This window comes from Homo sapiens, chromosome 6, assembly GCF_000001405.40.
Source record: "Homo sapiens chromosome 6, GRCh38.p14 Primary Assembly".
NCBI classification, from domain to species: Eukaryota; Metazoa; Chordata; class Mammalia; order Primates; family Hominidae; genus Homo; species Homo sapiens.
This window is the reverse complement of record NC_000006.12, coordinates 166,023,786-166,047,437: the sequence shown is the minus strand read 5'-3', so window position 1 is coordinate 166,047,437 and position 23,652 is coordinate 166,023,786. Positions and strand designations below refer to the sequence as shown.

The window sequence follows — 23,652 nt, the reverse complement described above, 5'->3', positions numbered from 1 at the left end:
GAATAATCTCAAACTTACAAATAAGTTGCAACTAAGAAAATACAAAGGATTTTTTTCAGTTGAATCTTTTGAGAGTAATTTGCCAAAATGATGTTCTGTTGCCCACTAACACTTCAGTGTGTATTTTTAAAATATGGGTAAATTGTCCTACATAACCACAAAGGAACCATTAGCACCAAGAAATGAAATGACACTGCTATCTAATCTGCAGACACCATTCAAGTTCTGCCAATGGAAGCTGTGCAGCTGTGTCAACATTGCTGGTGACAGTTTCAGCCCTTGGTATGGTGGCATTTCAGTGGCACATCCAGAACCAACTGTGACAGCATCTCCAACAACGCAGGGCAGTGGTGGGCTCAGGGACTCCATCCCAGGGGCATTAGCTTTGTGACCTCTGGGAATCACTTGTTCATTTATATCTTCCAACCTTCTCCTCCCTTTTCCTCTTTCAGTTCTTCCAACACTGTATCACTAATCAATTTCCTCTAGAGCTGAAGTACTTAATTTCTGTTTTCTGGCCTGGATCCTGGCTGATACACAGAACACAGTGGAGGACAGAGCAAAGGCTTCATTGTGACTGTTGGTGATACTTCTGAGGCCCTACAATGTCCATCTAGGCCTAGACAGATATCTTATCTTCATTTGCTCTGGGCTTCTCATCAGGTTGATTCATGAATATTCCAGTTCTCCTCTCTTGCCAGGTACAGTAGGTGGAGCTGCACTTTCCACCCACTTTGAAGTTAAGAATAACCATGTGGCTTGCTTGGCTAAGAGACACCTCAAGGAGGAAGTCTTAAAAACCAGGGCACAATCTCTCCCTTGGCTATGGTGGAAGCACGTCTTCATGGGAGCCCTCAGTCTGTTTCTTAAAAGACCACAATGAATAAAGACTTTCTACACAAAATGAACATGAAGCATGAGCAGGAAATTAATACTGTTGTTTCCAGCCACTTCGCTATGGGAGCTCTTTGTCACATTAGCATAACCAAGGCTAACCTGACTCATACACTAACAATGGACTTGAAACTTCCTAAGGATTGCTCATCTCCAGAGTGGCAGTGTGTTTGGACTAGGCTGCAGAAATCACTTTCTTATATAAACATGTTATTTCTGTAAAGTTAACACATACTTGCTTCCTGCCCTTCCAACTTGGCTCACAGGAGGTGGATTTTTTTGGGACCCATTATATGCATAGTGCTTGCATTTCTTAAAGACATGAAGAAGTTCAAGCTGTCGACATTGGGAATAGCAAGTGACCATCTCCAAGGCAGTTGCTTCTCCCTGTGTCATCACATCAGAGGGTTGTGTGAAATAATCTTTTATTTATAAGATGAAATTCATAACATTCAGAGGTCTGCCTCTTTCTTCTTTGCATTCCTGGCCTGCACACTGGCATCAAAAGAAACCTGCACATTTGAGGACAACTTCAGGAGAGTGATTGATTTCACTGAGGCCAGAGTTTAGAGGCCTTTCATGGGGCATTGCAGACATACGGCTTTCCTCATCATTCAGAGAGATTGTGTTACTTATTTCAGGGGATTTTTAATTATTAATTTTTTTAAAACTCAGAATTTAGGAATGCATCATGCCATGAAATAATCAATGATCCATAATCCCAGTCTTTATTTAATTACACATGTTTACTCTGGCTTTGTACATATGACAAGTTTAACTTGTCAAGTCAGCAAATTGGCTCTAGTTAAAATCATTTATAAAACACATAGACAAGAATGCAGTCATGTTGAACACATCAAGCTCCCTCCTCCCCCAGGTTTCTGAGTACAAGGAATTATCTGGGACGCTATTTCTCCTGTTTTTCTTCTGGCTAACTCCTATACAGATAAAATCTCCTTTCTCAGAGAACTTAATGACCCAACATCCAATGTAGGTTCTCTTATTGTATTCTGTATTTTTGTTCTTAATCTTACTTAACAAATTGGTAATAGTATACTTTATTTCATAGTTCTATGTTGATGTCTGCATCTCTGCTAGATTATAGGCACCAAGAGGATAAGAACCACTCTAGAAGAAGACAGCTCACCATCATATTGCATCATCTAGAACACTTCTTGGCACAAAATAATGACTCAACTTATATTTTGTTGAATGAGCTAACTGGTTAATAAAAAGGCAGAACATACTCGTCCCCTGTGCCTTTGCTCATCACTTAACCTTGCAGTACCAACTTAATAGCTGTGTGGCCTTGGATAAATTACAGAACCGCTCTGAGCCTAGGTTTCCTCATCTCTAAGATGTGAATAAAAATAGTACCTACAGGTAATCAACTTAGTCTATTTTTCCCCTGCCCAGGATATGAATCCTGTTGGAGACCAATGCCTCATAGTGGGATGCTTGACGGAAGGTGACCCACCTCCCACTGGAGGGAAGCCCAAGGTGACAAATCAACCTTCTCCCTGCAGCCCCAGCAGCTAAGACATGAGAGTATGACTGAAGTTTAACTAATCAGTTGACCTTCTGGGACATTGATCCCAAGGGAGTGTTACAAAGAAGAGAGGATAGTTAGGAGGTTGTTGGTCGTGGCTGGGGCAGCTCAGGCAGTATAGGGTCAGTAGCGGGGGGTCCTAACCAGATGGCTCTTGGAGATGACTGTGAGCTGTGCCCTATAACTTAACTTCCCTCTCCTCATTGCCTGAGCCTTGTCCTCTAATCCTCTAACACCAATTTTATGGGATACATGAGAGGCATCCAAAATATTCCATTTCTATGTATTAGCCTTTGGTTTCTGTGAGTAGCCACTAGGAACCCTGACTATATAAAATGTTTATGAGGATTAAATGATTAGATAATGCATTTCAAGAGCACTAGAACTTGGTGCTTGAGAAATGCTCAATGAGCATTCACTTTTGTGCTGTGCTCATGGGCTTCTGCCTATCTACCCTTTCCGGATATAAATAAATGAAGAGGATAATATTATATATATTGTCTAATGTTCAATTATACAAATAAAACAAAATAATATGACTAAGACACAACTGGTTCTCTGTATAGCTTCAGAACCACAATAAATATTCAATTATCTGTTTGTTCATTTACTTAATCTGTCATTCAACAAATATTTACAGGACAACTTCTATGTGCGGCACCCTGTGCTAAACACTAGAAATACTGAGCACTGGACATACTATGAAGTAAATAGAAAATCAAGACAAGCAGAAAAGATAAAAAGATGAAAAGTAAGACAAAAAGCTGCAGGGAAGATTGAGGAAACAACTAACTACATGTCCTGGGAGGGGCCTGTATTGCCCCAGCGGATTCTAGCCACACCTACCCAGTGGCAACTGCCTCGTTACCTGATGACGTTTGGTCTGGGGAACAAAGCCCTGGACTCGGAAGCATGTCTTGAGTCTGGTCCTAGATCACCACCACCTTGGGCCCCACTTCCTTCCTTTACATCTGTAGAATGTAATCACCTAGCCCATTTCCCCACAGGGATTTGACGAGAAAACATTAAGATAATAAATAGATAATTACTTGAAAATTCTCAAGTTATTGAGACTTCTGTTAGGTCAGCCATGATTATCATTGTTACTAATATCATAACTAGTGATTTACACTTCTGACATTTCAAAATTTGACATTTTTGTTTTAGCCTCAAGTTGCACAGTTCTAACGTTCTGACAAATGCTGAAGAAAAAGTTTCTTCCCCTTCTAAACAAAATGTAATGGACATGAAATATACCTTGCCATTTTATGGTGGATTTTAAGAATTTCTATTAAAAGCCTTTTGCTTTTGGGAAAATCGAGGATGAAGGAGAGTATGTTTAGGTTGTTTTCTGTCCTGAGAAAAGGAAGATACTTACAGGTAGCCTCCAGTTCAGATTTCAGCATTTTACTGAATCCTCATGAAAAGACACCCAGTATCTCTCCAAGTGTCACTGCCCAGGACTTCAGATTCTTGATGTGCTAGATGATGCCCAGTGTCTTAGACCTGGTTACCAAAACGGTAATTCACTGTGACACAACAGCATGGGCTTACTTTAGCTTAATCTAAAACAAAGAGGAAATGCTATCTTAAAGGAGGAAAGAACCTTCAACATGATAGGGTCCAGCAGCTTCATTTTACAGACCAGGAAACCAAAGTCTAAAGAAAACAAGTGGCTCCTCCAAGTATCAGTCATGGCAGCCCCCTCCTCTCCTCACTTCTCTTCACTCCCTCCCTCCCCAGCCTCTCCACCCCTCCTCATCTCCCTGACTTTTACTCCTGTTATTTACATTTCTTTCCCTCTCAGGGGAACCAAGTTGCCCCACAGAAAATGCCCTGTGGAAAACACATAGGATTTTAGGGTTTATCATACGTGAGTTTGGTTCAACTCATTCCTTTCCTCCCCATTCCTTTATTTATTTATTTATTTTACTTTATTTTATTTTTGAGACAGAGCCTCGCTCTGTCACCCAGGCTGGAGTGCAGTGGTGCAATATCGGCTCAATGCAACCTCCACCTCTGAGGTTCAAGCGATTCTCCTGTCTCAGCCTCCAGAGTAGCTGTGACTACAGGTATGTGCCACCACACCCAGCTAATTTTTGTATTTTAGTAGAGATGGGGTTTCACCATATTAGTCAGGCTTGTCTCGAACTCCTGACCTCAGGTGATCCACCTGCCTCCGCCTCCCAAAGTGCTGGGATTACAGACGTGAGCCACCGTGCTCAGCCCTCACCGTTCCTTTTATAACAGGTGGGCATTAGTCTTTATATTGCTACCACAGTGCCCTAAGTCCTTCTCAATTTTAAATATCAAATCCACTTCCCTGGTCTTTTTTGGGAGTGGCTGGTGGGAAACGCATGTACCAAGACACCGGATGGATCCGAGACTCTCCGCTGTCCCTGTTGTACTTTGAGTTCTGCCGCTGACCTACGAGGGTAGAACACCTTTAGCATTAGACACGGAAAAAGACCTATCAGACCCCTTGCTTAATTGACCCTTACTTCTAAAACAATGCAAGCGTTCTCATGTCTGTAATTGTTTTAGAAAAACAGCTTCTGCAGTCATCGATGTTCTTAAAGTAATTTAATGAGAAAGAATTTGAGAAAGACTGCCTCAAACATGGCTGATATACAGGAGATGGAAGACAAGTCCTTATTGGGGACCTAGGAAAAGGAAATTCTCTATGCAGTTCACCAGGAAAAAGAAAAAAAGAATTTCTCTGCTAAACCCTTTATTGTCAGCACTTTTTCCAGTTTCTTTTGAGTCTTTTTCCTTAGATGCTAAGCTTCTTTCTAGACTGAACAGTCAGTTCTCTGGGCTCACCCAGGACAGTGTCCTCTGTGTATACCAGAAAACAAGGGTCCCTTAACATGTGGTTGAAGGAGCAAGAAAAACAAGTGATAAATTTTCAGTTAAAGGTGTTATTACTGGGGAAAGAATACACACAGACCTTCAAATTATGAGGTTTTTTCTGCCTATGAAAACTGCATGTCATGTGACCCAGTTTTTCCACTTTTAGGTATCTGTCCTAGAAACACGTTTCCACACAGGGGGTAGAAAGTTGTAAAGATTGGCATTCTCACCTTAGTAATAAGAAGAACTTGGATAATCTGCAGAATCATAACTTCTCTTGAGCTTATTGTCAAGCTGACAGCTATCTTTGCAAGGTTGCCAAGTAATCCAGATTTCAAAGACTGACAAAGTGCTCCCAGGAGAGGTGGAGTGTTTCCCTTTAGCATAGCACAGGAGAAAGAGTTGTTTATAAAAAGTGTAAGGAGAAATCACCAAAATTTCATCAAATTATTAAAGCATGGGCTAGTGGGTCCTTTTGGAATGTCTGGGGGGGGGGGTCTCTAGCACAAAAGGAGTTGGCACTCCTTTGCAACCTCCTTTGCATGAGTCCCATTGGGTGCTCACAAGACAAACTGGAGTAGGAGGCCAGTAAGAGCCCCCACCGGTGGTACAGATGCACATCAACTTCTGGCCCCGACCTGAGTCCTGGCTCCCACCTGAGTCCTGGCTGCCACCCTCTGGCCTTCACCTCTGACCTGTGGGGATTAAGGGTAGAAGAGAACCTTGCCTCCTCTGCCAGGGCTGTGGGGTGTGGAGGGGATTCCTCCAGAGAGGAAGAGTGTGTCTGGCTTGGAGACGAACAACAAAACCCAAACTGACTTGATTGACTCAGTTCTACACTAATGTCTTCTCCATTTCCACGTATAAATAATGATCTCCTCAGTCTCCACTCTTTCACACAGTGTCCAGTATTCAGTTTTGACATAAGACAATTTTCTTTAAGAAGATTATGAAATACAAAATAGAGCAAGTTAAATATTTTTCAAGAGATAAAGCAATCAACAAAGCTGGACTCAGATAACCCAGAAGATGAAACTGTTATACAACCAAACTGGGGTCTCCTCACCTGGTGCAGTAAAAACATATCCACACGGAGGTTTTGCAGAGGCAGAAAGGAAACTATTTATCTGCAGGGCACCAAACAGGGAGGACCAAGTGGTTAATGCTCATATCCCACCTTACCCAATGGCTTGCAGGTTAGGGCTTTTAAAGGCATGCGTAAATTTCAGGAAGGCGGAAGCTACAGGCAAAATTGTAAATTGATACATGGAGGGTATACATTGGTTTTGGCCTAAGAGGGGCAAGATGTCTTAAAGTGGGGGCTTATAGGTCGTGGGTCGATTCCAATATTTTCTGATTTGCAATTGGTTAAGAAAAAGAAGCTTTGTTTAAAAATTTGGGGGTCACCAGAAAAGAACCTCAGCTCTGGCTTATGGGTGTGACTTTCTCCAGGTCCCTCAGGACGAAATTTAGAACAAAGAGCAGTGGTCAGAGTTCAGTCTTCAGTTCCCCCTTATCTGAGGTCTATGTGCCAGTGGGTGGTGGGGGTCCTTGGTGGGGATCCGGGTTTCTGAAAGACAACTCAGGCACATATGTTAAGATGCTATCTTCAGTTTCCATAGGGAAAGCAAACACCTCTGGAGTCTAACTTCCTTGACTATTGTTTTAGGCTACCTTGCTTATCAAGTTACTTCCTTACTTCTCAGGGCTAGCTAGATACCTGGAATTTCCCTTGAAGGAATTCAGGGTTTTCCTTCGTTTTCATGCTTGGGGGCCCGTTAGACAACTTTAAGGTAACTATTTATTAATGTGTTAAATGCTGTGATGGAAAAGGTGGATGGCATACATGAAGTTTATATCAGAATGGGTAAGGGTTGATTATTCAGCATACATTGCTGGAAAAATTCTTTATTCAAAAAACTTTTTAGAGCTGTATCTCACTAAATATATCAAAATTAATATAATCTGGATTAAAGAAATTAAGTATAAAAATAATCGATGTAAACTAGAAAAATAACAGAATATTTTAAACTATTGGATAAGGAAGGACATTTTAAATAGAAAACAATGAAAGAAATAAAATAAAATATTTTTTATGTAATAACATAAAATGTACAACTTTTATTCCTCAAATAACATCGTAAGTAATATTATAAGCAAGTAAATTGAGAACCTCTGCTGCAACGTGATGCAGCCTGCTGTCTTCAGGAGACTCACTTAACACGTAAGCCCTCACGTGCTTAAAGAAGGGGTGAGAAAAGATGTTCCATGCTAATGGACACCAAAAGTCAGCAGGAGTAGCTATTCTTATATCAGGCAAAACAAACTTTAAAGCAACAGTAGTTAAAAAAGACAAAGAGCGACATTATATAATGATAAAAGAACTACTCCAACAGGAAAATATCACATTTCTAAATACAAATGCACCCAACACCAGAACTCCCACATTTACAAAACAATTACTACTAGGCCTAAGAAATGAGATAGACAGCAACACAATAATAGTGGGGGACTTCAATACTCCACTGACAGCCCTAGGCAGGTCATCAAGACAGAAAGTCAACAAAGAAACAATAGACTTATACTATACCCTACAAAAAAATGGACTTAACATATTTACAGAACATTCTACCCAAAAACTGCAGAATATACATTCTATTCATCAGCACATAGAACCTTCTCCAAGATAGACTATATAATGGGCCACAAAACAAGTCTTAGTAAATTTAAGAAAATCAAAATTATATCAAGTACTCTGTCAGACCACAGTGTAATAAAATCGGAAATCAACTCCAAAAAAAATCCCTCAAAACCATGCAGAATACATGGAAATTAAATAACCTGCTCCTGATGATTGTTGGGTTAACAATGAAATCAAAATGGAAATTAAAAAATTCTTTTTAAAAATTCTTCTAAACTGAATGATAATAGCCACATAGCCTATCAGAACCTCTGGGATACAGCAAAAGTGGTGCTAAGAGGAAAGTTCGTAGCATTAAATGCCTACATCAAAAAGTCTAAAAGAGCTCAAATAGATAACCTAAGGTCACACCTCATGGAACTGGAGAAACAGAATACATTCAAATCCAAACCTAGCAGAAGAAAAGATATAACAAAGATCAGAGCAGAACTAAATTAAATTGAAACAAGAAAAAAACATTACAAAAGATAAATGAAACAAAAAACTGGTTATTTGAAAGATAAATGAAATTGATAGACCATTTGCGAGATTAACCAGGAAGAGCGAAGATTCAAATAAGCTCAATTAGAAATGAAACGGGAGATGTTACAACTGATAACACAGAAATACAAAAGATTATTTAAGGCTACTATGAACACCTTTATGTGTATAAGCTAGAAAACTTAGAGGAGATGGATAAATTCCTGGAAATATACAACCCTCCTAGATTAAGGCAGGAAGGTTAGAAACTCTGAACAGACCAATAACAAGCAGCAAGATTGAAATGCTAATTTAAAAAATTACCAACAAAAAAAGTCCAGGACCAGATGGATTCACAGCTGAATTCTATCAGACATTCAAAGAAGAATTTAGTACCAATACTATTGACATTATTCCACAAGATAGAGAAAGAGAGAATCCTCCCTAAATCATTCTATGAAATCAGTATCACCCTAATACCAAAACCGAGGAAGGACATAACAAAAAAAGAAAACTATAGACCAAAATCCCAGATGAACGTAGATGCAAAAATCCTCCACAAAATACTAGTAAACCAAATCCAACAGCATATCAAAAACATAATCCACCATGATCAAATGGGTTTGCATACCAGGGAAGCAGGGATGGTTTAACATACACAAGTCAATAAATGTGATACACCACTTAAACAGAATCAAAAACAAAAATTACATGATCATCTCAATAGATGTGGAAAAAGCATTTGCCAAAATCCAGCATCGTTTTATGATTGAAACCCTTAGCAAAATTGGCATAGAAGGAGCATACCTGAAGATAATAAAAACCAACTATGACAAACCCACAGCCAACATTATACTGAACAGGGAAAAGTTGAAAGCATTCCCCCTGAGAACTGGAACAAGACAAAGATGCCCACTTTCACCACTTCTATTCAACATAGTACTGGAAGTCCTAGCCATAGCAATCAGACAAGAGAAAAAAATAAAGGGCCTCCAAATTGGTAGAGGAAGCCCAACTCCTGCTGTTTGCTGATGATATGATTGTATATCTAGAAAACCCTAAAGACTCCTCCAAAAAGCTCCCAGAACTGGTAAATGAATTCAGCAAAGTTTCAGGATACAAAATTAATGTACACAAATCAGTAGCCATTCTATACACCAACAGTGACCAAGCTAAGAATTGAATCAAGAACTCAACCCCTTTTACAATAGCTGCTAAAAAATAAAATACTTATGAATATACCTAACCAAAAAGATAAAATACCTCTACAAAACACTGCTGAAAGAAATCACAGAAGACACAAACAAATGGAAACACATCCCATGCTCATGGATGGGTAGAATCAATATTGTGAAATTGACCATATTGCTAAATGCAATCTGCAAATTCAATGCAACTCCCATCAAATATGAACTCAAACAAATCAACAAGAAAAAAAAAATAGACGATCCCATCAAAAAGTGGGCTAAGGACAAGAATAGACATTTCTCATAGGAAGATACACAAATGGCCAATGAGCATATGGAAAAATGCTCAACATCACTGATAATCAGGGAAACGCAAATCAAAACCACAATGTGATACCACCTTACTCTTGCAAGAATGGCCATAATAAAAAAAATAAAAAATAATAGATATTGGTGTGAATGTGGTGAAAAGGGAACACTTTAACACTGTTGGTGGGAATGTATACTAGTACAACCACTATGGAAAACAGTGTGGAGGTTCCTTTAACAACTAAAAGTAGATCTACCGTTTGATCCAGCAATCCTACTACTTGTTATCCACCCCAAAGAAAAGAGGTCATTATACAAAAAAGATACTTGTACATGCATGTTTACAGCAGCACAATTTGCAATTGCAAAAATATGGAACAAGCCCATATGCCCATCAATCAAAGAGTGGATAAAGAAAATGTAGTATATATATACCACGCAATACTACTCAGCCATAAAAAGGAATGAAATAATGGCATTTGCTGCCACCTGGATGTAATTGAAGACTATTATTCTATGAGACGTAACTCAGGAATGAAAAGCTAAATATTGTATGTTCTCACTCATAAGTGGGAGCTAAGCTATGAGGACGCAGAGGCATAAGAATGATACATCGGAATCTGGGGACTTGGGGGAAAAGGGTGAGAGTGGGGTGAGGGAAAAAAGACTACACATTGGGTATAATGTACATTGCTCATGTGATGGGTGCATCAAAGTCTCATAAATCACCACTAAAGAACTTATTCATGTAACCAACCACCACCTGCTCCCTAAACAACCTATTGAAATAAAAAATAAATTAATAACATAAAACATGCTACACATATTTTATGCATTTTCATCCTTCCAGACCTTGGCGTTATGAGTTGAACTGTGACCCTCCAAAAGATATGTCAAAGTCCTAACATCGAGTACCTCAAAAGATTACCTTATTTGGAAATAGGGTTGCTGCAGATGTAATTACTCAAGATGAAGTCACCCTGGAGTCAGACGGGCCCTTAACCCAATGTATCTGGTGTCCTTTTAAGAGAGATGGCATGTGAAGACACAGAGACACACAGGGAGAAGACAGCCATATGATGCTGGGAGCAGAAGTTAGGGTGATGCTTCTGCAGGCTAAGAAACACCAAAGGTTGCCAGCAAACCCCAGAAGCTGGAAGAGATAAGAAAGAATTCTCACTAAAAATTAAACAGAAGGAACATGGTAGGTACTCAATAAATTGAGAAGGTTTCAGAAGGAGCATAGTAGGTACTTGATCAATAGTTATTAGATAAATGGCTAGATGTTCTCTCACATCTAAAAGTTATTTTCAGAACCTATGCCACAGGAAGCTTTTAATATAAACTTAATTTGTACAAGCAATATGATATAACTCTCAAACATAAAAGAGAGACATCTGAGAATGGTATGGTGCTTTCGAGTTTTCTATTATTAGTTTTTGATTGAAATGTTAGTGAATATGTTGGTTTATCTCAGACCATAAAGAATGGAAGAAACATAGACAAATGGGAGTAATGTCTATTTTATTCAGGGACAGAAATATAACCAGCAATGACTCTGCTACTGTTCTTAATTGGCTCATAAAACAAGCTTAGGACACTCAAGGTAGTTCTCTAGAAACAAGACTCTGAGATACTGAAAGCAGAACAACTGCAGGTCCTGGGTCTATGAAGGAAGCCAGGACCCTGCCCACAATGCAGACCCCCAACTGTAGGTGCCTATGCCTTTGCACCATGTAGACCTGGTCTCTCTGATGTCTTTCCTGCTTTGAATCCTTATTCCTCAATAGCTGGTTTTTCGAAAACTGGTTTAAACTGTGAAATATAGAAGGACCAAATAATCTGAAGAGGTAGAAGGAAGCTTGTCTTGATCACAGCAAATCCTTAGTATTCAAAACTCTTTCAAGACAATAAAACATCCTAAGGAGAAACAATGTTATGGGGGATAAGAAGCTGAGACTGCATAGACTTTTCCATGGGGCAAAACTTTTCCAGTGAATGTATGTTTTACTTTTTCTTTTCTTTTCTTTCTTTCTCTCTCTCTTTTTTTTTTTTTTTTTTTTTTTTTTTGGTGACAGGGGTCTCTCTCTGTCACCCAGGCTGGAGTGAAGTGGTGCAGTCACAGCTTACTGAAGCCTCTTGACCTCCCACACTCAAGTGTCTCTCCTGCCTCAGCTTCCCAAGTAGCTGGGACTGCAGGTACATGCCACCATGCCCGGCTATTTTTATTTTTTGTACAGACAGGGTCTCACTATGTTACCCAGGCCGATCTTGAACTCATAGCCTTAAGCAATCCTCCTACCTTAGTCTCTCAAAGTGCTGGGATCAGAGATGTGAGCCACTGCACCCTGCCCTGTAGGTTTTTTCCTCATCTCTTACAAAAATAAATACTTTGTGTATTTGCACAATTATGTGAAGGACAGTAGGGATATAAAAGATAATGACTTCTTTGTTTAAAAAAATACTGATGTCTTTCTGCTCCAAATATTCTCTCCATGTCTAGAGGGGAAACAAAGAGTTTTTGGCAATCAAGAGTTGCTAATTTGTATAAAGTTTAATTCTTAAAGTTATATTTTTAACCAAAATTTGAAGAATTTTGAGATGCATTTTAAGGTTAAGTTTTTCATTGATTTTAAGAAACCATAGTTTTGTATTTAATAAATAATTTAATTGAGAGTCTAGAAAGATATGTATCTCTATTAGTCCATACTCATGCTACTATAAGGACATATCTGAGACCAGGTAATTTATAAAGGAAAGAGGTTTAATTGACTCACAGTTCCACAGGGCTGAGGAGGCCTCAGGAAACTTACAATCATGGCAGAAGAGGAAGCAAACGCATCCTTCTACACATAGTGTCAGGAAGGAGAAGAATGAGAGCCGAGCAAAGGGGGGAGCCACTTAAAAACCATCAGATCTCATGAGAACTTACTCACTATCATGAGAATAGCATGGGGGAAACTGCCCCCATAATTCAATTACCTTACCAGGTCCCTCCCACCGCACATAGGGATTATGGGAAATATAATTCCAGATGAGATTTGGGTGGTGACACAGCCAAACCATATCAGTATCTACATGTTAACTTCCAGTGTAACTGGGAAAATTAGTTGTTGATAAGGAAGAAAAATGAAATTTGATCCATACCTTACACCATAAACAAAAATCTACTCCAGAGGGATTAAGAACTTAAATGTTAAAAGCAAGACTTTAATCCTCCGTCCCAGTCCCTTGCCTGTTTTCTCTCAGATCAGTTCCCTCCTCTTTCCAAGTTCTGCTCTGTAGCTCAGAGGGTTGACCTTGGAAACTAATTTCCCAGGCTCCCTGATCCCTGACTTCCACGTAAGATGAGCCAATAGAAGGCACCGGCAGACACTTGAAGGGAAAAAGAGGATCCAGGGCATTTCCTCCTTTCTCAGCTTCTAGTGGTGTCTGGGGAAGGGCTGTGTATCCTCCAAGGTGTCACTTCCGCGGAGATCCCCTGCCCCCAGGTCCCAGCTCCCAGCAGGTGCTCCTGATTCCTGGGCTTTGGTAACATCATACCCTCCTTTGTTCCCCAGGCCTGGGGATGTTGGTGGCCTTCCATGTTGCTGACCTCTGGGTTGTCCTGCCATCCTCATGGTCTTTTCAGCTCTTCGAACACCTTTGTAACAAGTTCCCCTCTTAAACCTCTCTCTGCAGAGCTACCTCTTGTGCATTCTTTTTTTACTAACTCCACCTGACTGACACAACCTCTAAAAAGAAAAAATAAGAGAATATCATTATGTTAAAATTAAGAAAGTGAAGATGAACCCCAAACTGGGAGAATCTATTTGTAAAGTGTAACGGACAAGGAATTGATATGAAGAGCATTTAAAACTCATGCTAATGAATAAGATTTGAAATTATTAAAAAGTATCAAACAGAAATTCTGGAGTTGAAAAATATAGCTGTTGATGGCTTTTTACCCCTGAGTATGGATCAAATTTTGCTGTTTCTTTGTTTGCTCCATAATTTTCTGGTTGAAAACTGTGCAGTTCAAAAAATACGATAGACTTATCCAATATTTAGGTAAATATATGTATATATTCATATATATAATTTAGCAACTATGAATTCTGATTTTTCTTCTTGTAGGTTATACAGCTGTTGCTGATTTTTTGCTTGTTTAGTACTTGTCTAGAGTAAATTTATGAGGTCTGTTTCTCCTATAGTGTGTGACCACTGATGTCTCTGCTCAGTTTTTAAATTCTTGTTTTCATTTTTAAGTATGGTTTCTACGGGTCACCCATGTGTCTGCATAGCTTAGTGTGCAGCCAATGATTGCCCAGAGGCTGTGCTCAAACAGCCTGAGCCAATAGGTCAGTACGTGGTTCGGGGAGAGTGTTCCAAGTTCAGGCAGCTTCCAAGTCTGTCCTGGCTTGAACTTTCAGCCGGGTCCTGCTGCATCTCCTCTGTGTATGTATCTGTGCAGGCTCATGGCCAGCCAGTGGGCGGCTCAGGCTCTCTCCAGTCTCTCCATGTGGCTGATCAGTGGTATCCAAGCAGTCTCATTTCCTGGACGTGGTTAATTTTCTGGCTAGTCTGCTGCTCTGTTTCTTGTCCCAGTCAGGACTGCAACCTCAGGCTAGCTGAGCCACTGCTCTTCCTCAGGGTTTGCCACTGAGATGGCTGCTGTTACAGACAGTGCCACTGGGGGTAGGATTTTGTTGTTTGTTTGTTTGTTTTGCATTCTACTCCAAATCAAGTTAGCTCCCTCTGGCAGCAAAGTTTACTGGTTTCTAGGACTAGCCCCAAACTAGTAGAACTGCCTCACCAATAGAGCTAGAGAGGGATGGGGTCAGGCGCAGGCAAGAATCCTAGGGTCTCCCACTGTCTTACCTGAAGTTCCACAAGTTTCCATGAGTCACATCTTCTAAATTTGTTGTGTGCTTCAGGCCAATTTCCAGGGCCCTGAAATTAGTGGGTTTTTTTTTTTCTTTTTAAATAGTTACGTACAATGTTGCTGGGGTTTTTTGGCGGGGGAAGGGGATTTGTTGAGCTTCTCACTCTGCCTTACCGGAAGCCCTACACCATTACTTAGTTTTCTTAATATATAAGTTTCAGTAGTTGATTAGAAACATTTTTTTCTACTATAAGCATTTGATGTTATAAATTTTCCTTTAAGCACTGTTTTAGCTGCATCTCACACATTTTGATATGCTGTTTTTATATTTTTATCAGAATCAAAATATTTCTTAATTTCCCTTTTGATTTCATATGCAGATAAATTAGAATTTAGAAGAGCATTTAGAAGAGTGTTATTCAATTTCCAACTATTTGGAGGATTTACCACACAATATATTTCTGTTATTGACTTCTAATTTAATTCCATTTTTTTCGGAGAATATGCTTTGTATAATTTCATCTCTTCTAAATTATGAACACTTATTTTTCTGGCCCTTATTTTTCTGGCCCTGAGTGTGGTCTGTCTTGGTAAATATTCCATGTGGACTTGAAATAAATGTGTAGTTTGCAACTGGGGGTGGTTTTCCGGGTGCCAAGGAAGACGAGTCGACGTTTAGTGCTTCTCAAGTCTTCTAACTTTATTACTCTTTTGCCTCTTTGTTCTATTAACTATTGAGAGAGATGAGTTGCAAGCTCCAATTATACTTGGAATTTATATACTTTTTTGTTTTATCAGTTTTTGCTTCAAGAAGTTTGAAAACCTGTTAAGTACATACCAATTTAGCATTGTTATGTTTTTATGGTGAATTGACTCCTATATCATTAAAAAAGATCTGTATTCACAGTAAAATTCTTTGCTCTGAAATCTACTTTGTCTAATGTTAACCTTGCCACTTCAGCATTCTTTTGATTGGTGTTCTAATAATGCATGTTTTTTTCCCAATATTTTACTGTTAGCCTCTCAGTGTCTTTATTTACATATCTCTATCTCACTAGCTACATAGATGTTTTGATTTGCTTTTTGACTAGACTGTTTAGACTAGAAGTCAGCAAACTATGGCCCCTGGGCCACATCCTGCCACCTGGTTGTATAAATAAGTTTTATGAAAACACAGTCTTGTCTATTCGTTTGTGAAATGTCTATAACTGATATTTTTACAACAGCAGAATTATATTGTTATAATATATAATTATATAAATATATTTACATAATACATTTAAATATATTTACATATATTTAATATTATTAAATATATTTAATTAATTAATGTATTTCTATATTATATATTTACATATATTTATGTTATATTATAAAATATATTTATTTATGTTTATATTTATATATTTAATTTTATATAAATATGTATACATTATAAGTATTTTAATATATAAATATATTATATAAATATATACATTACAAATATATTTATAACTATAACTGACTTTTTATAACAGCAGAATTATACATTTATAATATTTAATTCTAATATATAATTATATATTTAATATATTATGTATCATTTACAACTTATATGTACTTATAATGTATATGATATATCATATAATATAATATATCATATATAATAATATATTATTATATTTATATTTATAAATAACATATCTATAAATTATATAACATATAAATATGTATTACATATTATATATTATAATATATTATAATATATAATATATCATATAATATAATATATCATATATAATAATATATTATTATATTTATATTTATATATAAATATATTATATTTATATATAAATATAATATATTTATATTTATAAATAACATATCTATAAATTATATAACATATAAATATGTATTACATATTATATCTAAATTATGTATTATAAATAGGTAATTATTATATATTGCTGCTATTGCAGCAGCACAGGTTACACTGCATGCAAGGCGTAACTGTTTATACTATCTGACCCTTGGTAGAAATAACTGATGTAGACCATTTACATTTACTCTGGTATCGATATGTTTGGGTTTAAATCTACTATCTTTTTATTTGTTCTTCATTTGTTCCATCTGTTATTTCACTATTCCTCTCTTTTCCTGTCTTCTTTTACCTTGACTTGTTTTTAAGAATTTAATTATATTGCTATAATTGGTTTATTAGCCATATAGCTTTTGTTTATATGCACAGTTGCTCTGAGAGCACCTATTATATCTTACTTATCTTAAATTTACCAAATCTACCTTGCAATAGCATCAAGTATGTTATAGTATGTTGTTATGATAGTATGATATTAGGCATATGGAAGAAACTTAAAGTAATTTACTCTCATTTTCTTCCTCTTTGCCCTTTTTGCTTGTATTCTGAGATATTTTCCTTTTTCATAAGTTGTTAACCTCACCATACATTGTATTAGTTTTGCTTTAAACAATCAATAGCTTTTAAATTCATTTTTAAATGAGAATTGTACGTTTTTCAACTTTTTAGTTTTCTAGGTTGAAGGGTAAATCTAGTCTCTTTTTCCCAGTGTGATCATTAATATAAATTTTTATGACATTTCAAATTCAAAATCCACAAATGAAAATGGAGTGACTGTAATATCCAGGTGCCGTCTGGGTGTTCCCATGTGTGACATCACAGGCAAAGCTCCTATGAGGATTATACCATTATCTATATTTATAAATCAGGAGGTGAAGGATCAAAGTGTTAAACAACATACAGCATCAGTCTCACAAGGGCACTGCTATTTGAAAACTTACGAGGAATAGGAAACCTATGAATCATTATGGCTGTAATTTCAGTAATTCCCAGAGGTGTGCTGTGAAAATTCAACTTTCAATCAAGAAGGGTGAAGGGTCTGGGACTTTCCCTATTTGCAGGCTCACAAACCAGCCTGCGTATTTCCCCAGATGCTCGCTGAGAGGAAGGACAGTTTCTTACTCACAGCATTTGAGGTAGCCAGCAGCTCATCCCCCACAACCCAAATCCCAGAAACCAAGACAAAAGAATTAACTTGCCATTATTTGCAATACAGGAGCAGAACCCTGATTTAGGAAATGTCACATGTTTACAATGGGCATGCGTGTCATTTGCCCTGAGGGGGACTCTATTACAGTGGGCAGTAAGCATGCCTACCCGTCGCCCAGGAAGGAGTTTCTTCTACACGAATATCCTTGAAAAGGTAGTTCAGAACCAAGGCTGTCAGTGTCTCGTGTGCAAGACATTCAGAAACCCGAAAGACCAAGGCAGAATTGTCTCTCAGCATCCAGCCCATTATAAATTTAAGGTCCTGCAGGGATTACATTTTTTTCATTATTCTAGCTTTAGGATTCTTTTCTATGTGTAAATAGTGGATTGTTTACATATTGCAGGCATCTGTTTTAAGGTTTAAGGAAAGGATCTAGATCTAGATGAGTCAGATATTATATTTTATTTCCACATTTGTTACAGTTGCCTGCTTTTTATAAAACTCTGACCTTTTTAGTTGAATTTTATTTTCTATTTTCCATCAATAAAGAAATAACTTTCTCAAGATAAGAGTGGTATTTTAGAAGTGGGAAGGGGACTCGGTTTGTTGTAATCCACAGCTTCAACCATGATGTGATGTACACGGAAGCCCACAGCTGGTGAGCGATAGAGGGAAGACGCCATCCCCAGTCAGCCCTCTTAGCCACGTCCTCTTTCCCTGATACTCTCCTGCCTCTTTTCTGTGTATCCGTGGGGGATAATTTGTTGTTATCTGAGAGCAACACTCCCTGGGCTTTTTATCTCCACCAAGGAGTGGCAGAAGAATATTATTAGCCATCAGATACGGGATCAGAGAAGACAGCTAAACTACAAATTCTCAATTTCTTAAAATCTTACACATCCAACTTGGTGTCTGCATTGACAAGATTAATAGGATAAGAGTTAAATCTGGACTTCTCATCTTGTTACTCAGACCTGCTTATAAAATCCACCTGTGAAAAACAGACCTGCACTTTGAGTTACTGCAGATGAAGTAACCAGCATCAAACCCAACCTGAGCATTTTATAGGAATTTGGAAAATGCATGAAACCAATTCCTGCTCTGCTTTTCTGATCTTCCACCTGAGAATGTCAGGAGAAATCACATGTAGCTTGTGGGATATTCAACAGTATAATAAACAGATAATTCCTATCAGACAAGACATTTCATTTTAGGGGAATAATTATCAATCTAGAGATAATGTATTAACAGCTCACGCAAAGCCCTGAGGTTTTCATTATGCTTCTTTTCTATAGCAAATGTAGCAGGCTGAATGCAGGGAAACATTTTTACAAGACCTCTTAGTGCCCAGGCTCTTAATTTTTCATTCGCACGTGGAAAGGTTTCAAAGAGGAGTGTTCACAAGACTTAACTCACACGCCCCTCAGTATGGACGCCAAGAAATGCCTGGCTTCTACCTTTTCTCGTCTAGGCCTTGTGATTAGAAACCATCTCTACTGCCTACTCTACAAATCATCTCTATGTGCCCAGTGCCTGGAGAGATAGAAGCTCTCTTTCTTTCATTGTAGACAATTTGGAGCATATAAAGATGTGTAAAGTAAAAAGCACACACACGCACACACACACACACACACACACACAATCTTCCTGTCCTAAAACAACCATGACTAACACTCGATGTGTTACAGGAAGTTGTTCTTTCTGGTGAAAAGTGTGAGAGGGAGGAAGATGAGGGATTTACTCATGGTCACCTCCTGAACCCAGGAAAGGAACAGAATCCATTTCTTTGACTTTCTCACTGAAGCTTGAGTATCCACATCTATCTGGGGATATCTGAGGACCCAGCCTGGAGGCTGCCAGGACTTTATTTGCATGAGGAGCCTCCCTAGAGAGACTGACCTGGTGCTAAGACCTTACATCGCAGGAGGTGTGGGAAATGCTGAGAACATTGTCACTTGGATAAATGCGTCCCCTTACCTCTCCAGGATCACATCTGCCTTGGTCTGATAAAAAGACCCAAAAAGATGTTTCACTAAAACTGCACCATTTAGGCTCATACGACCTCTGCTTTACAAAGTGTATTACAAAGGGGAGAGAGGGTCTCCCTGCAACCAAAAACTCTGGCTCTCGGGCTCTCGGGAGCATTGGGAATGTGGCTCCAGCACCCAGCTATGACAGGGATGTGTGATGTGGGCAGCACCCCACCGAGGGCAACAGTGTGGAGTGGAGCCTGCATGCTCCACGTGGTAGCTAGCCTGGGCATGGCAGAGCAAGGGGTGGTGAGAAACACCGTGCAGACACTCATTCGTGGGCAAGAGTCAGAGCCTGTGAAACACTAGCTAAAATTTAGCGCGTCTCAAACTTCACTGCAATTGGAGCCCCGGGGAAGCGCCTAGAAATTACCTTTGCTTTGGGGGTGGTTCCTGGAAATCTGTAGCGGTAAAAGGTCTGCACTTGGTGTGGCAGCCATCTAAGAACTGGCTTTAGGAACCAGAGCTCTCCTCACAGTGTGGTCCTCACATCTGCAGCTCTGGGGAGTAGGCGCTGTGGGTGTTCACTTCCCCTTTCCTAGGCCAGGACAGCTGTGAGTGACCATGTGAATGGCTCACAGCTGCACTTCTGGGGAGAATTGCCCAGCGGGGTCTGAGAGCTCTCAGACTCTGCCTCCAGGCAGGATCAGCCTTGAGGTGGGATGCTGGTTCCAAGCCTCGCCTTGAGCCAGGCCACAGCGTGTCTCCAGCTGCTCTCACATCTTGACTTCACTCCCCTCCTGGCCTCTCCTGCTCCCCACTCCGTGGCAGCTTCCCCTGGGAGCCCTTCCTCAGTTAAGTAAGCAAGAAGCTAGGAGGAGGCAAGAGCTCAGCCTGGAGGCAGGAGCCTGCCTGGAAGGAGCCCAGCCTAAGACCACAGCACTGCCGGGGCACTGGTTAGAAAGCAGAGCCTTGGACTCTTCCTGTGCATGCAATGGGTCCCCAGCCGTCTGTGTACGCTGGGAGCAGGGGCTGAGAGGCTACTCATCAGCACAGGGGTGTGCAGCCGGGGCTGGAGAACACGCCCACCCTCCCACACCTCCGCCCATGCCCCACAGCTCTCTGGCTCTTTTCACGGGAGCTCCCTTTCAATGAAGTCGAAGCTTTCAAAAAAAAAAAAAAAAAAAAAGGCTAAGCAGGAAGCCAGAGGCCTGTATGTGGCAAGGAAAGACCAGAGACCATTTTCCATTTTACAGATGAGGCATGGTCGGTAGAGAAACCCTGCTATCCCAGAGTTTTTGAGGTTTTTAGGAACCTACATTGGAAAAAAGTTGGTTCTAATTTGTGGGTGGGAAAACTTGAAATAAATAAATGTTTAACTAAATGCCCGCAAAATATAACATGGCAATTGGTTACCTGCAATTTAACTCAACCCATATATATTTAATTGTATTTAATGTGGGCTGTGGCAAAGTTTGAATATGTTTGCTCTTTAGTGGCTTGAGGTCTCTATGACTCTACCCAACGCTATGATGAAAGAGAAGGGATATGGAAGCAGGGGCAGCCAGGCCAGCTCAGCCTCAGAGGGGATGCTGGGCTGGCAGAGCACGGAACAGGTAGACTCCTTACCCGCCTCTGGGGCTCACAGCTGGGAGGGATCCCAAGCAAGGGGCAGACTCGGGTGTGCGGCTGAGGGATGGGGAGAAACAGGCCCCACACCAATGCTTTGCTCTCCACGGCCTTGCTATTTCATTTCTCCTAAAATCTGCATAGTGCCAAGTAGAAGGCATAGGACAGAGAACTAGGATGAGGATGGGGTCCTCTGGCTGCCGGCTAACTGGTGTCTCCCTTCTCTTTTATTGGAGATTGATTTCAGTGTGACCTGGAAGAGCCTGCGATTGTTTTTTGAAAGCACTTCCAGTTGAAGTGCTCAGTACTAGGCTGCCCTGGCTTTGGGCCAGCCCTCCCAGAAGCATGCTCTAACCGGGCCCGAAGGCATGTCACCTGGCACATTACTTAGAGCCTGGCTTAGTGACTTAGGCTGTTTACTGTCACTTATTTTCTTTTCGAAATAAGTCCATCAACTTGAGTTTAACTTTGGGAAAATCTAATTTGCACACATGGAAACATACCCCACTGAAGTGTACATTTGAATTAGTTTTGACAAAAGCCTACCTCAGTGTAATCACACCATAATCCAGTTATAGAATATTTCCCTGGCCCTAGAAAGTTCCATTGCAATCAGCTCTCCACTTCGGGCGAGGATGGGTCAGCTTTTGGTGGTTGGAATGCTCCTCTCTAGCATTTTTGATAATGGAATCATGCACTTTGGAATTTGTTGGGTCAGGCTTCTGTGGCAACACGGAATGTTTTTGAGATTTATCCATTGCTATGGCCTGAGTGTTTGTGTCTCCCTCAAATTCATAGCTTGAAGCCCAGCCCCCAAGGTGATGGTATTGATAGAGGCAGGAGGCAGAGAAAGTCTAGGCAGACAGGAGTGGGTCCCCAGTGAAACCCCACCTTCAAGCCAAAAATCCTGATACCCACAGCCCAAAGTGGGAACTTCTATTCCTGTTTGCCCATTCTTTTCCAATTGGTTCTTTCTGGATAATGCCTTTTGCCAATCAAATGTTGCCTTTCCCCAAACTACCTATGACCAGCCCCACCCCCATCCTGTGTCTATAAAGACCCCAGACTCAGTCAGTAGAGGGGAGAGAAGCAGCTTGACTAGAGAGAGAAGCAGCTTGACTGGAAAGAGACAACTTGACTTCAAAGAGACAGCTGGACTTCACAGGAGAGATGGCTTAACTTCAGGGAAGAACTAGCCTGACTTTTGGGGAAGATGACCTGCCTGTCCCACCCCCTCTCCAGCTCCCCTCTCTGCTGAGAGCCATTTCCATTGCTAAATAAAATTCTCCACCTTCACCACCCTTCAAGTGTCCACATGACCTCATTCTTCTTGGATGCTGGACAAGAGCTCAGGACCCACCGAGTATAGATACACAAAAAAGGCTGTCACACTGGCCCTTTGCGTTTGCTGGCAGAGGGCAGCTGCCCCAAAGAATGAGACAAAGAGCCAACTGAACTGATAATACACTACCATCCATGGATGTCAGAACTAAGAGAGCACTGTAACATGCCCTCAGGGGCTTTAGGGTCGCAGGCACCTGCCTCCCCTACCTGGGCGCTGCTGCACAGAGCTTGCTCCTGCTGGGGCCCAGAGCAGCTGGCTGGGTCCTGCACTCGCTTGCTCACATGCTCCTTCCTGCAAGGGATTGAGCACGGTGGGCCGTGTAAACGTTTGCTCCCCTCATGAGTACAATGAAGGGACTGAGAAAAATCCTGCATCATTATTAGGAGGTGGAGCCTTTGGGAGGTAACTAGGTCTTGCGGATGAAATGTAAAAGGGGAGGAGGCACAAGGTCTCCTTCTCCCTCTCCCTGTCCCCCACCTCACTCCTTCCCCATCCGCCTCCCTCTCCCCCTATTTCTCTCTCTCTCTCTCTTTCTCTCTCTCCCTCCCTCTACTGTCCATCCTGTAAGAAAATAATAAGATGGTGGCCATCAGAAATCCAGGAAACAGCGCTTACCAGACATCAAATCTGCAAGCACCTTAATCTTGGATTTCCAGTTCCAGAACTGTGACAAATAAATGTGTGTTGTTTAAGTCCCCTGATCTGTGGTATTTCTATTACAGCAGCCTAAACTAAGATGTCCATAATGTCGTGTTTATAAGCAATTTGCTCCTGATCGCAGTGGAAGCTGACTAGTGTTCCACTGTATGCAGGGACCACACCCCTTCATGGACACTTGGGTTGATTCTACTTTGGGGCTGATTATGAAGGAAGCTGCTGCAAACATG

General features: G+C 40.2%; 1 long non-coding RNA gene across 1 annotated transcript, besides 1 other annotated feature; it reads right to left on the bottom strand.

Annotated features, from left to right (window-relative positions):
• Nucleotides 1-4,791: 4,791 nt before the first annotated feature.
• LOC105378117 (uncharacterized) lies at nucleotides 4,792-22,075 on the bottom strand. The gene is made up of 4 exons (XR_943241.2): nucleotides 21,967-22,075; nucleotides 10,881-11,105; nucleotides 5,527-5,673; nucleotides 4,792-4,870 (listed from the first exon to the last, which is right to left on the bottom strand). It is a non-coding gene; the product is annotated as an uncharacterized LOC105378117 (long non-coding RNA).
• Nucleotides 20,300-20,379: an enhancer, noted in NCBI's record as "active region_25428". NCBI's record gives its function as "activates an Ori minimal core promoter by ATAC-STARR-seq in GM12878 lymphoblastoid cells {active_cell/tissue: GM12878}" and the evidence as "EXISTENCE:reporter gene assay evidence [ECO:0000049][PMID:35858748]".
• Nucleotides 22,076-23,652: the final 1,577 nt, after the last annotated feature.